Raw genomic sequence first — 14,111 nt, 5'->3', positions numbered from 1 at the left:
GTCTAGATTTAGGCGGCCTTACGCGCCCGCCTTGGCATTAGCAGACTGGGAATTGCCGTGGCTATGCCCGAAGTTTGGAAAGTCTCTCTCGGTCTCTTTCTGGGACAGCCTTTCTTTTTCCGGGAAGCTTCCTGTGCCTAGAGGTGGGGCTCTGTAGCTGGAGGGGTAGATGGAACTTGCGAAGCAAAGGAAGGCAATAAAAGGAAGTTAGGAGAAACCGGAAACGTGGGCCAGGCCTTGCTCTGTTGGAGAAGCGGTGTCCCCGCAAAGTCCCTGCTTGCGCTGGTCCCGGCCGGAGCCCAGATCCCCCAAACGCCTGTCACTTCTCATCGAGTTGAGGCTCCGGCCCCCACCCGCGCCTTGGTGAGGGCCCCCCCTCAGCCCCAAGCCTTCGGCTACCCTGAAAACGCGGCTCCCCTCGAAGGGGAAACAAGTGCAGTTCAATCTCGTCTGAGTGATCTACAAATAAGGACGGAAAGGGTCGTTTTATCACGGTCCCGTTTGTCGTGACGATGCAATTTCCCGGAGCGGAGCACTGTCACAAAGTGACAAGGCTGCCACAAGCGCCCCGACTGATCTTTTCAATTAGCCTTCCATGCATGATCCGGAGCGACTTCCGCCTATTTCCAGAAATTAAGCTCAAACTTGACGTGCAGCTAGTTTTATTTTAAAGACAAATGTCAGAGAGGCTCATCATATTTTCCCCCCTCTTCTATATTTGGAGCTTATTTATTGCTAAGAAGCTCAGGCTCCTGGCGTCAATTTATCAGTAGGCTCCAAGGAGAAGAGAGGAGAGGAGAGGAGAGCTGAACAGGGAGCCACGTCTTTTCCTGGGAGGGCTGCTATCTAAGTCGGGGCTGCAGGTTGGAGATTTTTAAGGAAGTGGAAATTGGCAATTGGCTTTGTGTGTCTGTGGTTTTTGGGGAGGGGGACTACAAAGAGGGGCTAACTCCCTCTCCCTATTCTCTAAGGTTGGACCACAGGGATGAGGTTGTGAGATACAAAGATAAAGGAGGGATGGGGAACACTATGATGTGGTATTTTTCTTTTCTGTTTTTTCTTTTTGATAATATCTATCCTTGGCTAAGGGGAGGGCGGAGTTCAGCGGCGGAAATAAAGCGAGCAGTGGCTGGTGCGAACCGACTCCCGGCTCTAAGCCTTACTTGCGGTGGCCGGACTTGTCTGTGGCTGAAGCCGAGCCCGGGCTCTGACTCTCACGTCTGCACTGGAGGTGCGGAAACCTGGACTGGGGTTCACCAGCCACATACTGGCTGCTCTGGTTGTTCTCTCCTCTTCCTTCTTCTATTCTAACCAAACAAAACCCAACTCGATGCTTGTGCCAGGCCTTGGCCAGTTTGGACGGTGATGGAAACATTTCTGGATTTTAGCGTCTAAGGGAGCACTCAAGGGCTGTAAGGTTTGCTATCACTGTCCCAACACTGCAGAGACCTTGAAGGTTCAGTGTGGGATCTGTAGAACCCATGGTTTGCGGTGACACTCAGAGGGGATCTTTGGGAGATTTATAGAGCCGGTTCTTAGCGCTTTGTGGGTTCAGAGGCTGGCTGCAGTGTTTATGAAGAGGGGCAGTGGGCTGGGGACACTGCTGGGGTTATGGCTGTAGTGAGGTCCATGTGTACTTGTTCCTTGGCATGTGTCTGACTCTGTGTTGCTGCTGCAGTACAGTGGGCAGGGGCACGGTTGCTTGGACTGGGCTGCCCGATGTCTGGCATGGCTGGTGGTCCTGTTGTCCTTTATTTGATCGATAGCAGGGAACTGACCGCCGAGGTTGGCACAGGTTGGCAGGGGGATGAGGATGCATTGTGGTTGTCTCCTCCTCCTCTCCTTCTTCCTCTTCCCCTTCCTCCTCTCCTTTCTGTTCTTGTTCTCCCTCATCTTCCTCTTCCTTCTTCTCCCTCTTCTTCCTCTTCACTCTGCTCTCTTCTCTTCTTTTCCCCTTTCCTCTCCTCTCCCTTTCCTCAGGTCACAGCGGAGTGAATCAGCTCGGTGGTGTCTTTGTCAACGGGCGGCCACTGCCGGACTCCACCCGGCAGAAGATTGTAGAGCTAGCTCACAGCGGGGCCCGGCCGTGCGACATTTCCCGAATTCTGCAGGTGATCCTCCCGGCGCCGCCCCACTCGCCGCCCCCGCGGCCCTCCACTCTCAACGCCCTCTCTTCATTTCTTACTGTAAACGATGCTAATTATGGACCCCCCCACCCTCACCCACCCCAGTCCCCAGTCCCCCCACCCACTCCCCTGCCTTCCCACTTTCCCCTCTCCTTCCACCATCCTTCCCTATCTCTTTCAACCTGGGTCAGTTACATAAGATAACTCATCTGCTTCAGAAAAATATTGTGTGCGGATTTTTTTAAAAAAATCTTTCTCTTTTTATTTGGTAAAGACATTCATTGTGGGAACAGTTTATGAACCGTAATAAGCTGAGTTATATAAACCGGCATAATTTCATTCTGCTCTCCCCAGCCCATGCTTACCTCAGCTTTTGAGGTATTTGTTTATTCTTCATGTTTATGAATAATATATATTGATTTTAAAAGGCAAATGCTATTTACTCCTCCCTAACTCACATTTACTCAATTGAGTATTTTTTAAAGAAGAAGAAGTAAAAAAATCAGTTTATTTTTTACCTTTGTTCTTTAAAACATAACGCCACTTTAAGCAAGGTCAGCACAAAAATAAATTTATCTACTTCGTTTTGATGCATCTTCAGGCAGTGTTTAAGAAAAGTTTTTTTTTTAAAAAAAGCTTTTAAATTCGTTTTTTAGTTCAAATTGTTTGAAAGTATCATCATATTTGTAGTTTTTAGGGCTACAAATGTAATTTTAAGAAAAAAAGCTCTCTACAGTAAGTTCTCATACCATTGAAGGTATATTTTTGTGTTATAGACCCATGCAGATGCAAAAGTCCAAGTGCTGGACAATCAAAACGTAAGCTTGTCATTGTTTAATGCATACTTAAACAATTTTATTTTTGTCTTGAAATTATTAATAATGTGGTTTTCTGTCCACTTCCCCTATGCAGGTGTCCAACGGATGTGTGAGTAAAATTCTGGGCAGGTATTACGAGACTGGCTCCATCAGACCCAGGGCAATCGGTGGTAGTAAACCGAGAGTAGCGACTCCAGAAGTTGTAAGCAAAATAGCCCAGTATAAGCGGGAGTGCCCGTCCATCTTTGCTTGGGAAATCCGAGACAGATTACTGTCCGAGGGGGTCTGTACCAACGATAACATACCAAGCGTAAGTTCATTGAGAACATCTGCCCTCCCTGCCCTAAGCCCAATGCTCTCTCCTCTTTACCTCCTCCCACCCTCTCTCTCCACTGTCTCTTAGTCTGTGTCCTCTCCCTGCTCCACATTTGTCTCCTTTGTACCTGGGGGAACAGAGAGGAATGCCCTGACTTTTCTTTGACTGTCTGGAAAATGGGAGTCAAGTGTGGGGAGTCATTCACTTCATTTGCATGCTGCAAAACAGAGGGCGGAGGCACCAGGGAAAGGCACTTGAATGAAGAAGGAAAATGAGAACCAGATTGTAACTTCGTCCTAATCCACCTGCCAGAACTTTCCTTCAGGTGTCACACATCCATTTCCATCCTAATATTAAACAATATAATGAAAGAAAGCTTTACAACAAGTCTAAATAGTTTTTATTTTCGGGCAGTCTTTTAACAAAGCAAAGCAACCGTGTGAGTTAGGTCACCAGAGACACCAAGCAATGGTGAAGGACCCCCTCCGCCCAATTCTCTATCCAACTAAATTTCCATGCCCAAAGTGATAGCTATCATTTTTTCCACGGTGTATCTGCAAATCCACCCACTGTCCCGGGGTGGCTGGGAGCTTTTTAACGGGTTGAGAGTTGCTTTTTAAGGTTGTGGGTGAGCTGAGATGGGTGACTGTGTCTTCAGGAGACACTACCATTTGGTTTGATTTTGGTTTGATTTGCAGGTGTCATCAATAAACAGAGTTCTTCGCAACCTGGCTAGCGAAAAGCAACAGATGGGCGCAGACGGCATGTATGATAAACTAAGGATGTTGAACGGGCAGACCGGAAGCTGGGGCACCCGCCCTGGTTGGTATCCGGGGACTTCGGTGCCAGGGCAACCTACGCAAGGTAAAACCCAAGCAGCCATCCACGCAGCTCTCCATATGTGCATCCCTTTGCCTGTCCCCTACTCTCCCAACCATTTCCTCTCAGGGCTTCCATGCTTGGGGAATGTCATGGGTGAGACTGCATTTGAAGGCCTGGGACACATCGACCACATTGTATGTAGGTGGTGTTTGTTGAACCATTTTGTTGGCCTGGGAATGTGAGGGTTGTGTATGTCAGGAGCGGTATGAAGGTGGCTGGTGGGTGCGTGTGTGTGTTTGTGGGCAGCACTGTGTGCATAAGAACGAGCTGCGTGGTGCACTATTCAAATTTGACATTAGAATGCAGGGAGAGCCCCCTTGTAGAAGTGTGACAAGATAACGCACTGACAGACTGCGAGGTTAACATAATTGTATCCTGTTGCTTTTTGCTGTAATTGACAAATTATGTGACTATGAGTAGGGTGCACATGAAAAGGTGAGCAGGGAGATGCAGGGCGAGTCGGGGATGGGGCATTGGAAGTGGTGGTCTCCCAACTAAAACCACCCCACTATCCTTGCCCCTCCCCCGTTCGCCCCTCTGGGTCCCACTTTCTCACTCTCTGTGGGTGGCGACTATGTGGAAGTGGTGAGGTGAAGATACTGTGAGCAGGACGGCGGGATGCCGGGAGCCGCTCTGGTCTGGGAGGAGAGATGGGACCTGAAACACCCCAGGTTCTGTGAGAAGGGCTGGAGGAAGAAGAGCGGGGGATGGGGGGGGTGGGGCGGAGGGGAGGGTCAGTTGGCTCCCCTCCGCTCCCCTCCACACCCCGAGGTAGCTTGGTCAAGAATAGGAAACAGTTTACTCCGAAGATTAATCGGTATTTGTTGTCCTCGTGACAAGGAGATAATATGCGGGATAATGGGACGTGGCGTCTCACTCCCAGGAGCACAACGGAGCCGAGGGGCTCGGGGCCAGGGGCGGCGCGCGGGACTGCGAGGAGGCTGCCGGCGCATCCGTGAGCTCTCGGACCGGCTCCGGATGCCCGGCGCCTCCATGGAGTCGGGCGAGGGAAGGGAAAATCGGTAACAGTATGCGAAATATCTGGTACAAAGGATGCTTCTGTCACTCGCAAGAATTTGTTATGGGAACAATCCTGTCGCTCTGTAATTGCTCATTAGAGAACGTTTTGTTTCTCATTAAGGCGACATGAATAAGCGTCTAGTTGAAGGAGACAGCTGTAGAAATGTTCCACAAGAGACCTCTGGACACGATTCGGCACCAATTGCCAATTAGACATGTCAGTTTTAAGAGCAGAAAACAATATAGGACGGACACTGGGAAGATAGGGAGCAAAGCGCTCGCTTCTTGTTTCCCAGCGCGGCCGCTCGGCCGGCGGAGGCCTCCTGACGCGCGGGGCCCGGGCTCCCCTGGGCGACCCCGCCCGCACGGGCCCCGAACCCGCCGCCTCCGCGAGCTCAGAGGGCCCCCAGGCCCGCTCCCGCCTCTGGTGAGACTAGCGATTGACCCCACCGAGTGTAGGCAACCCCATCCCTGCCTGACTTTTGAAACCGTAGGATTCCCACTTGTAGACACTGGACACACCCAAGTGACACCCGAACTTCGCACTCACGAGCGTCCACCCCTCCGCCCCCAGCAATCTGAGGTCCTGGTGATCCCTCCCCTGACAAGAGTCTGGCCCACTTAGTCCGAGAAGTCTTGGGGAGGGACTCAGGGCACGGTGGCCTAGGCCTGGGAGGGCTGAGCCCAGAGCCTCCACTCCGGGCTCTCCCCGGTGCGTGGGCTCCCATGAGCTTGGGGCGCAGGATACACCCCCCTTCCGCTTCTTGGAGTTGGGCAGAAGCCGAGGACAGCAGCTTCCACCAGAGGTGGCGCCCGATTCGGGCGGATTTTCGTCGCCGGCAGTCTGAGGGCGGGAAGTGAGAGTCAAATCAGCTAGGGTCCGCCTGTGATGGTTGGGGCCGGAGGTGGAGCTAGTCCAGGGGCTTTTCACTTTAACGCGCCTAGTTGCTAGAAAATTCTGGGTCAACTGGCAATCACCACCCCCCCACCCGCAAGTGAGGTTTTTGGGGGGTGATTGTCACCTCAGGCACAGGACCGTCGCCCCTAGTTGCGTGGGGAGGACACGTGGGCCAAACGAAGCACAGAGTTGCCGGCGTGGGGGTAGCGGGCACCGGTGGTGAGCTTCGCTTCACGTTCCCGGGGAATCCTCAGACTTTTTGGTGCTAAGAGGGTCCCCCTCCCTCCCTAGCCCCCTTTCCCAGCCCAGGAAGCCTTTCTTGGGTTTTAAAGAGTCCATACTCCAAAAGCATAAGGCGGGGGTTAGGTCTCAGAGGGAGACAAATATGGTTTCCATCTGATCAACGCCATGCGGCGGTGAATAAAATCGCGACGACGTGGGCTGACAACAACAAGAGACAACTCTATCCAGCCCCAATTCTCCGGCGATTTGGTGGTTTTAGGGATCACGGAGACACTTTTTCTTATCTCCTCCCCTCACCCCACCCCCACCCCCCATAATACCCAAGCCCTCTATAGGATTTAGTCAGCCTCTCTTTCAACAGATGCTACAATGTTTTGATCCGCGCTCCAGAGCTGAAAAGGTGCCGCAACCGGGTTGCTATCTTTTCTTGCTTGTTTTCCGCCTCACTGATTAAGACACTAAGAAACTAAGGAATGATTTTATTTCCCAGCAACTCTCTCTCTGTCTCTCTCTCTCTCTCTCTCTCTCACCTCCTTCCAGGAAACAAATCCTATTCCCATCGTCAGATGGTCCTGGGGCTGGGATAATGGGAGGCGCTTTCACTCGCTTTCTCACGGATTAGGCTGGAAGGTGAACGGCACCCACTGAAGGCCCCTGCTTTGCGCGGCTCCGAGGGGGCGCCTTTTGAAGAAGATATCTTAATTGTCCACCACTTAGGTTTATCGTGGGGGTGGGGGAGTCGAGATCCAACTTCTAGTTTTATTTTGTTAAAAGCTTTAAGAGTGGAAGGCAAATCCACTAAAGTGGGGGGAAATGTACCCATTTTATGTAAGAGCAGCCGCTAGGTCACCGCCTGGCTGCAAACAGTTGCCACTTCTAAAGTAATGAACTGTCTCCGTGCCGCTCTCCCCGCGGGGTAGAGAAGGGATCCTGCAGCGACAGGTTTCTTTTTGCTGTGGAATTCCAATCCCCGCTTCCCATCTTTTTTTTTTTTTTTTTTTTTTCCAGATTTAAAATTGAGCTCTACTGTCCCTGCTGACTTTTCTCTCTTAAGTGTCAGTTCTGGAGGCAGCACAGGGCCTGGCGGCGATCGCGTGCTGCCTGTGTAAACCCGTGTGTATGTTTGTGTGAGACAGAACATGGATAAGAATGTGAATCTCCATGTTTTAAAATTAAGAAAATGTCAAAGAGGCAAATGAGAGCAGAGCATGCTATCGGCGGGGTTCTTCGGAGGCAGATTCGGGCAACTTTGTTTAATTGGCGAGATCGAATGTGCCAGAAAAGGGACCGAGATGGGGCCCCTAGGAAGGCATGGGCATGAGTGGCCATGGGGAGATGGGCATTGTGTTCTCCTCAGTGTCCCCCACCCCATACCAGATGTGCACAGATTTTTGTCTGTTTTCCAAAAGCAATAACCCTCCGGCCTTTCTAGTTGGCCAAAAGGAGCTATTTCCAGTCTTCCTTCTTCACCAAACCCGAAAATAAAGCGAGGGGTGGGGGTGGTCGCTTCATTTCTTCCCTTGAAAAACGCTTTGAAAAGTCCCCGGAAACTTGGGGCAGTAAATTAGCACAGACGCTTGTGCCCGCACACGTGAGCGGAGCGCGTCTCCCTCAGCTAAGTAGCCCTCCTCGACCCCCACCTTTCTGATGGAGTGCAAAGACCCAGAGTCCAGATGGGGCTCAGTTACTAATATTCTCTGGCCCTCATCCTCCTTTTCCTCTCTCTCCCACTCTTGTTCGGCCCTCGTGTCTCTTTTTCCTCTCAGCATTCTTTTCTGTCCTTTTTTAAAAATACCTTTCTAGCCTCTATGTTTTTTGAGCCTTCTTTTCCCCTCCATCGCCCTCTTTTTCCCTCCATCGCCCTCTGTCTTTCCCCTAACCCAGGCCCCCCAATCCTTCCCCCTTGCTTCCACCCCCACCGCTGGTTTCCATCCTGCCTCCCCTCCATCTCCTCTATGTAGGAACCCAGCCCTGGTCCCCGTCCACTCTCCCTGCCTCCCCCCATGCTGGGCCCTGGCCCCCCCATCCACCCTCCATCCCCCCAGCCAAGCGCCCTAAATAGCACGGAGGCGCCCGCTCTTCGGACAGTGATTAATGATAGCAGAGCAGAGGGGTTAACACACTTCACTGAAAAGTCTGTTGACTGGGCTTCTTGTAACACAATGTGGCCCGCTGCACGCCTCAAGAGAATCCTTTTGTTGTCCGCGCTCATTGTAGCCTCAAAATTCTGCCCACGAAAGTTTGCCAACGCTCCTGCCCCAGGAGTTTAATAGTTTCCCTTACTCGCGGGGCATTGTGCAGCGCTGAAAAGCAGCCCCTCGCTATTCAAGTGTTGGTGGTCATCTCAATAGATCTCCAAGGGCCCATATGGTGGCCAGTGCCGATGAATCCGCCTGTTTAAATGGGGGAGAAAGTTGGGGTTTTAAAACATTTCAAAGTTCCTGAAAAGATCCCACTAGATCCTGTCACAATTCCCTGAACTCTTTGAAGGCGCAGCCTATTGTCTCCTGGTTATAAATAATATTCCTGGCCAAGTCGATTCCCACCAAGGCGCTCCTAGGGGCCCCTCCACCCCGCCTCTGGCCAAGTTTTGAGGATAGGGAGGTGGGTAGCCCATGCTGGTATCCCTTGGGGGTCATTTCAGGACCCCAGACCCAGGACCCAGCCTGTAGTGGCCCTGGAGGCCCAGTCAGAGTTTAGGCAATCCTGCTTCCCTTCACTGTGGCCTTACAGGCAAGGTGCAAGCCGGGAGCCAGCTAGCCCAAGTGCACATCTTGCCCTCCAGGCAGCAAGGGAAAACCATAAAACTTTCCCCCTGTATAATGATAGAAGTTACATTCAAAGTGGTGGAAATGCCCTAATTAAAAATGTACCACTTAAATGATATGCCAAAGATTCAGCTGCAGCATAGAATATTTAGCTAGTTAGTGAACTCTCTACTATTTCTTTTTTAAAATTACACGTTAAAAATTTAAAAGAAATCTTACTTTTCTCTGGTGCAACACATTACAAAGAATGGACAGTCCTTTTATCTAAATATAAAATTCCATTTTCAGCAATTATAGCCTGTTCTTGGTGATGATATAATTACAGCTGTGCTCGTAATAGGTGTCAAGGCGAAGCGCACTCATACAATAGTTGAATAAAACTGCAGAACAATGCGAGCACTTCTAAATTCACAACCTTTAAATGAAATTGACTGTGCAGAATTCAAATAAAAACTAGATAAATATTTTTTAAAAAAGATTACAAGCTTGGTTTGGTTTCTTAATAGCATTTTCTACAAACCTATCAACATCTAATTGATTAGATAGGAATTACTGATTATAGATCAACTGAAATCTTGAACATCACTCTTCTATTTTCCCAACACAGCCATAGGTAAAGAGATTCTGTAGGGAGTGGAGTGAGGCATTTGGGGAGTTGGGGTTACTTATAAAAGATCATTTTAATTGGAAACTTCAGTGCTTATTTTTTCATTCAAGAAATGCCACTTAGTGTGTGTATTATAAAGTCTCATCTTGATAAAAACAAAGAAAATGGTGGTCAGGTAACTAACATCGCAAATGTATTTTTTTAAAAGAAGGCTGACAGTTACCTTGGGAATGTTTTGGTGAGGCTGTCGGGATATAATGCTCTTGGAGTTTAAGACTACACCAGGCCCCTTTTGGAGGCTCCAAGTTAATCCAAATTTCTCTTACCATCCTATTCTTTTTGTTCCAGATGGCTGCCAGCAACAGGAAGGAGGGGGAGAGAATACCAACTCCATCAGTTCCAACGGAGAAGATTCAGATGAGGCTCAAATGCGACTTCAGCTGAAGCGGAAGCTGCAAAGAAATAGAACATCCTTTACCCAAGAGCAAATTGAGGCCCTGGAGAAAGGTGATAGAGTTTTTCAAAGTAGAGAAGCAGTAAATCAAAGTAAATGCCACATCTTCAGTACAAAGAGCTAAATTTAGCCAGGGCCCTTTGCATAGAAGAATGAAAAGATTTCCTTTTTTCTGTCTTTTTATTTCTCTGGGCATCTTTTCAGTGTGTGTGTGTGTGTGTGTGTGTGTGTGTGTGTGTGTGTGTGTGTGTGTGTGTGTGTGGTGTGTGTGTGTGTGTTTCTTCTTTTCATCTACCAGTAATTCAAAGACTAAATGTCTGACTTATAAGGAAAAATGATGATTTGGCTATTTCAGGCCACAGAAAGGTCACTGAATGCCATTCCAAAGAAAATTTAACTTGGTTCTGGTGGGAAAGTTCTTCCAAGTACAGTCAACACTAGAAGCATTTTAAAGGGAATTGGTTGGAGGTAATGGGAGTGGGGAGGTGGGAACCAGTTTGATGCACAGTTTGGTCAACATATTTTGTGTAGTTCTGGCACAATATGGAAAATCAACTTACTCTTTCAGAGTTTGAGAGAACCCATTATCCAGATGTGTTTGCCCGAGAAAGACTAGCAGCCAAAATAGATCTACCTGAAGCAAGAATACAGGTACCGAGAGACTGTGCAGTTTCACACTTTGTGATTCATACCATTTGTCTTTCCTAGAGACAGAGGTGCTTGTACAGAGTACTATTTATTTATAGGACTAATATAATAAAAAGGTTCAGTCTGCTAAATGCTCTGCTGCCATGGGCGTGGGGAGGGCAGCAGTGGAGGTGCCAAGGTGGGGCTGGGCTCGACGTAGACACAGTGCTAACCTGTCCCACCTGATTTCCAGGTATGGTTTTCTAATCGAAGGGCCAAATGGAGAAGAGAAGAAAAACTGAGGAATCAGAGAAGACAGGCCAGCAACACACCTAGTCATATTCCTATCAGCAGTAGTTTCAGCACCAGTGTCTACCAACCAATTCCACAACCCACCACACCGGGTAATTTGAAATACTAATACTACGAATCAATGTCTTTAAACCTGTTTGCTCCGGGCTCTGACTCTCACTCTGACTACTGTCATTTCTCTTGCCCTCAGTTTCCTCCTTCACATCTGGCTCCATGTTGGGCCGAACAGACACAGCCCTCACAAACACCTACAGCGCTCTGCCGCCTATGCCCAGCTTCACCATGGCAAATAACCTGCCTATGCAAGTAAGTGCGGCTGGTGGTGGCCTGCATAACCCAGGCCCCAGAGAAGTGAGGAGTGGCTCAGGGCCTGCGGACCTCATTGGCTGTGTCTGCACCCTTGAGAGCTTTTCGCACTACAGTGATTGGCTTGACCAGTCAAGTCGGAGACAGTCAATCCCATCACTTTTAAGTGATTGACTCATTAATTCATGCCCTAAAAAAATGAGTAATAAAAATCTGTCCAGTTTTGTCAGGTTGATCTGCCTTTTATTATACTGTTACCTTGATAATGTTGGGTGGTGGTGGGGCATGTTTTGGGTACCAGGGAGCCTTGCACCAGAAAGTGGAAATAATGCTGGCACATTATCAGATAGCAGATTAGTAGTTTAAAATTTGGGTTTATATTAATGTGTTTGTATGCTAAATATAGAATCTGTGCACGCATTTGGGGCATTACTTTGGGTATATGTGATAAACTAGTGAGAAAGAAAAAAGGATCAGAAATGGGATTCATATTTACATGGTGAGATATACATAATATAATGAGAATGCTAGTTTTCTGTCTGTATCTACAATAAGAAAAGGCATAGCAGGTATTTGCTGGAAATTTAGTGTGTCTTTGCTGTGAATGGTGTGACGAGTTTGTGGCCCTCCTAGCTGCCTGGGAAGCTTGATGCTATTCACTTGGTATGACAGCCTGCCTCTCCTCTTAGTTCTGTCCCAAATATCTATTAGCCCCTACATTTAGAGGTCCTGCACTAGGTTCACCCTTTATGATGTAAGTTGGATAAGGCAGATGGTTTGTACTAGACCTTTGTTGCTGGATGGATTCTTGATAGGAAAAATGTCTGTCTTCTGGTAGGCCTTTCCCAGTGGTTTTCCTAGAACTCCTGTTTGTGCAACAATTAGAGATATTAGATGGTACGATATTGGCCAGCATGAGCCTCTGCTGGAAACAGTTCTGGGGCTACACTGATTGTTTATTCTCCATTGAACATTTTTTGCTGGATTTCAAATCCAAATAACAGCAAAATAAATGTTTCACAGTCTTCAGACTAATATAGGAGCAGCTAGATAAGCAACTTCAGAGGAATTATTCACATGTTTATTTTTATTGCATCTGGATATTGTTGGCCATAGTGCAATTGATGTAAATTAAGGGATTAACAGCCCATTAGTTGGTGTTGCTATAACTGCGTTGGAATTTTCCAGAAGTCAGGTTGCCTAGAGGAACTCATTGCAGGAATTAGAAACAAATGCAAGCTGAAATTCTGGCAGGCCCTCAAGGCCTGTTTGCCTCTTTGAACTTGATGTTAGCATTCATCATCTGACTTTAATAAGGCCACAGAGTGTCTCGTTCAGTTTCATGTATTATAACAACATCCAGGTTTCTGTGAAGATAGCAAAATGTGTATGTGAGAAAATAATAAGACGAACAAGTAGATGCTGCAATTATATTAGGGCTGTTTCCACATACAGAGCGGTATGGGGAATCAATCTATTTCAAACACTGACTTTTAAAAATTACATAATTTGTATAATTCAAAAAGTACATGCATTCATTAAGCATAAAGAAAATCAAAATGATCAATAACTTTACTCTTCAGAGAAAACTACTCTTTGAATTTTGGAGTGGGTGAGCCCGATTGTCTATCCATTTATTCATTCTCTTGACCAAAATCATCATTTTACAAATGGTGGGTGTCTTCCTCTGGACCTTCTCTGATATGCTTCCCTCTCTGAGCATATGGATTTTGGAAATTAAACATTTCTCCAGTTTGCAGAGAAGAGAAATGATAGTATACTGTACTATCATCTGACCTGCTTGTTCCCGACACACTTCTTTTAATTCATCCCAAGTTTGCTGCCATGGCATAGTACCATGAGAGCTCATGAGGCGTTTTGTTAGGAGAAAGGTTTACCTCCTCAGTGCTGCCATTCCGAACAGTTCGAGGGTAGCAACAGTTTTCTAGTTATAAGTCAGTCTGGGCTTTTGGGTCTGTTAGGAAGTCATGGTTAATTCTCAGGATGGAGGTCGTTATATTTACTAACACTTCTGATCACTTTAACTTGGGGTCATTACAGATCTGCTTCTTCAAAGAATCTTTAATCCCATCAGTGAAAGGTTCCCAAGGTCCCTGAACCATACTTTACTGAGAGCTCCTCCCACTGCTCTCTGTCCCAAAGCTTGAGATATGGGCTCTGGGGGTCATAGGGTTCCCAAATAAATCCAGATTTGCAGGGAGAGGGGATGTGTTTTGATGAAGGTCCTCATGCTATAGGTTCTTCAAAGATGCTAGCAGAGGTTAGAGACAAAAATCCTATTAATTTATGGATAGTGGCAACCATCTAGCTGGACAGTTGTCAGAACCTAAAGTGCTTTAGAGGCTTGATACATAGGCAGCTTTCTTCTAGCTGTGGCCAGTGGAAGGACTAGCTCGAGGCCCAATCTTAGATTTATCATATGGAATTCCAGTACTTCACGTGAAGGCATCTTTAATGATCAGACTTGTTGGCAGAGTTCCTCGGGAGGAGGGAGCCTGGGGCTGTGGCTGTGTGATGTGTTCCTCAGTAACCACAGGTTTGCCTCTCTCCTCACAGCCCCCAGTCCCCAGCCAGACCTCCTCATACTCCTGCATGCTGCCCACCAGCCCTTCGGTGAATGGGCGGAGTTATGATACCTACACCCCCCCACATATGCAGACACACATGAACAGTCAGCCAATGGGCACCTCGGGCACCACTTCAACAGGTGAGC

The 14,111-nt window shown here is 48.0% G+C and overlaps 1 protein-coding gene across 53 annotated transcripts in view, besides 12 other annotated features; it reads left to right on the top strand.

The window, feature by feature from the left end:
* PAX6 (paired box 6) overlaps window positions 1-14,111 on the top strand; it is a 28,936-nt gene that overhangs the window by 13,147 nt on the left and 1,678 nt on the right. For 9 of the 53 annotated variants that reach the window (NM_001127612.3, NM_001368890.2, NM_001368888.2 and 6 more), the window contains 8 exons: window positions 1,981-2,111; window positions 3,039-3,254; window positions 3,959-4,124; window positions 10,027-10,185; window positions 10,701-10,783; window positions 11,013-11,163; window positions 11,262-11,377; window positions 13,955-14,105. In NM_001127612.3, coding sequence (NP_001121084.1) covers window positions 1,981-2,111; window positions 3,039-3,254; window positions 3,959-4,124; window positions 10,027-10,185; window positions 10,701-10,783; window positions 11,013-11,163; window positions 11,262-11,377; window positions 13,955-14,105 — 1,173 coding nt within the window. Of the gene's footprint in view, window positions 1-755; window positions 2,187-2,902; window positions 2,945-3,038; window positions 3,586-3,958; window positions 4,125-4,153; window positions 4,277-10,026; window positions 10,186-10,700; window positions 10,784-11,012; window positions 11,164-11,261; window positions 11,611-13,954; window positions 14,106-14,111 lie in introns of those variants that run through there. The other 44 variants (NM_001258462.3, NM_001310158.2, NM_001258463.2 and 41 more) reach the window with 24 other exon arrangements.
* Window positions 457-672: a silencer, noted in NCBI's record as "ele4". NCBI's record gives the evidence for it as "EXISTENCE:reporter gene assay evidence [ECO:0000049][PMID:9883578]".
* Window positions 457-672: an enhancer, noted in NCBI's record as "ele4". NCBI's record gives its function as "enhancer of PAX6 in the spinal cord" and the evidence as "EXISTENCE:transgenic organism evidence [ECO:0001131][PMID:9883578]".
* Window positions 457-700: a biological region, named in NCBI's record as "regulatory region in intron 4 of PAX6". NCBI's record gives its function as "regulatory_interactions: LOC106014249 | PAX6".
* Window positions 470-700: a conserved region, noted in NCBI's record as "conserved region; ultraconserved element uc.328". NCBI's record gives the evidence for it as "COORDINATES:sequence similarity evidence [ECO:0000044][PMID:15131266]".
* Window positions 5,109-5,437: a conserved region, noted in NCBI's record as "conserved region; CE1". NCBI's record gives the evidence for it as "EXISTENCE:sequence similarity evidence [ECO:0000044][PMID:14732405]".
* Window positions 5,109-9,911: a biological region, named in NCBI's record as "enhancer region in intron 7 of PAX6".
* Window positions 5,651-6,188: an enhancer, noted in NCBI's record as "H3K4me1 hESC enhancer chr11:31820175-31820712 (GRCh37/hg19 assembly coordinates)". NCBI's record gives its function as "activates a minimal SCP1, AML or CMV promoter by ChIP-STARR-seq in naive H9 embryonic stem cells {active_cell/tissue: H9 hESC(naive)}" and the evidence as "EXISTENCE:reporter gene assay evidence [ECO:0000049][PMID:30033119]".
* Window positions 6,378-7,093: a conserved region, noted in NCBI's record as "conserved region; CE2". NCBI's record gives the evidence for it as "EXISTENCE:sequence similarity evidence [ECO:0000044][PMID:14732405]".
* Window positions 7,942-9,911: an enhancer, noted in NCBI's record as "VISTA enhancer hs1082". NCBI's record gives its function as "enhancer in: neural tube[10/14] | hindbrain (rhombencephalon)[14/14]" and the evidence as "EXISTENCE:transgenic organism evidence [ECO:0001131][PMID:17130149]".
* Window positions 8,352-8,849: a conserved region, noted in NCBI's record as "conserved region; CE3". NCBI's record gives the evidence for it as "EXISTENCE:sequence similarity evidence [ECO:0000044][PMID:14732405]".
* Window positions 9,118-9,703: a conserved region, noted in NCBI's record as "conserved region; CE4". NCBI's record gives the evidence for it as "COORDINATES:sequence similarity evidence [ECO:0000044][PMID:14732405]".
* Window positions 11,395-11,608: a silencer, noted in NCBI's record as "fragment chr11:31814755-31814968 (GRCh37/hg19 assembly coordinates)". NCBI's record gives its function as "represses an EF-1alpha promoter that drives an FKBP-Casp9 reporter gene in an ReSE screen in HepG2 liver carcinoma cells and phorbol 12-myristate 13-acetate-treated (for megakaryocytic differentiation) K562 erythroleukemia cells {active_cell/tissue: HepG2 | K562(+PMA)}" and the evidence as "EXISTENCE:reporter gene assay evidence [ECO:0000049][PMID:32094911]".

Source organism: Homo sapiens, chromosome 11 (assembly GCF_000001405.40).
Source record: "Homo sapiens chromosome 11, GRCh38.p14 Primary Assembly".
Classification (NCBI taxonomy): Eukaryota; Metazoa; Chordata; class Mammalia; order Primates; family Hominidae; genus Homo; species Homo sapiens.
Note: the sequence above shows the minus strand (reverse complement) of the source record. Positions and strands in the feature narration are given on the sequence as shown.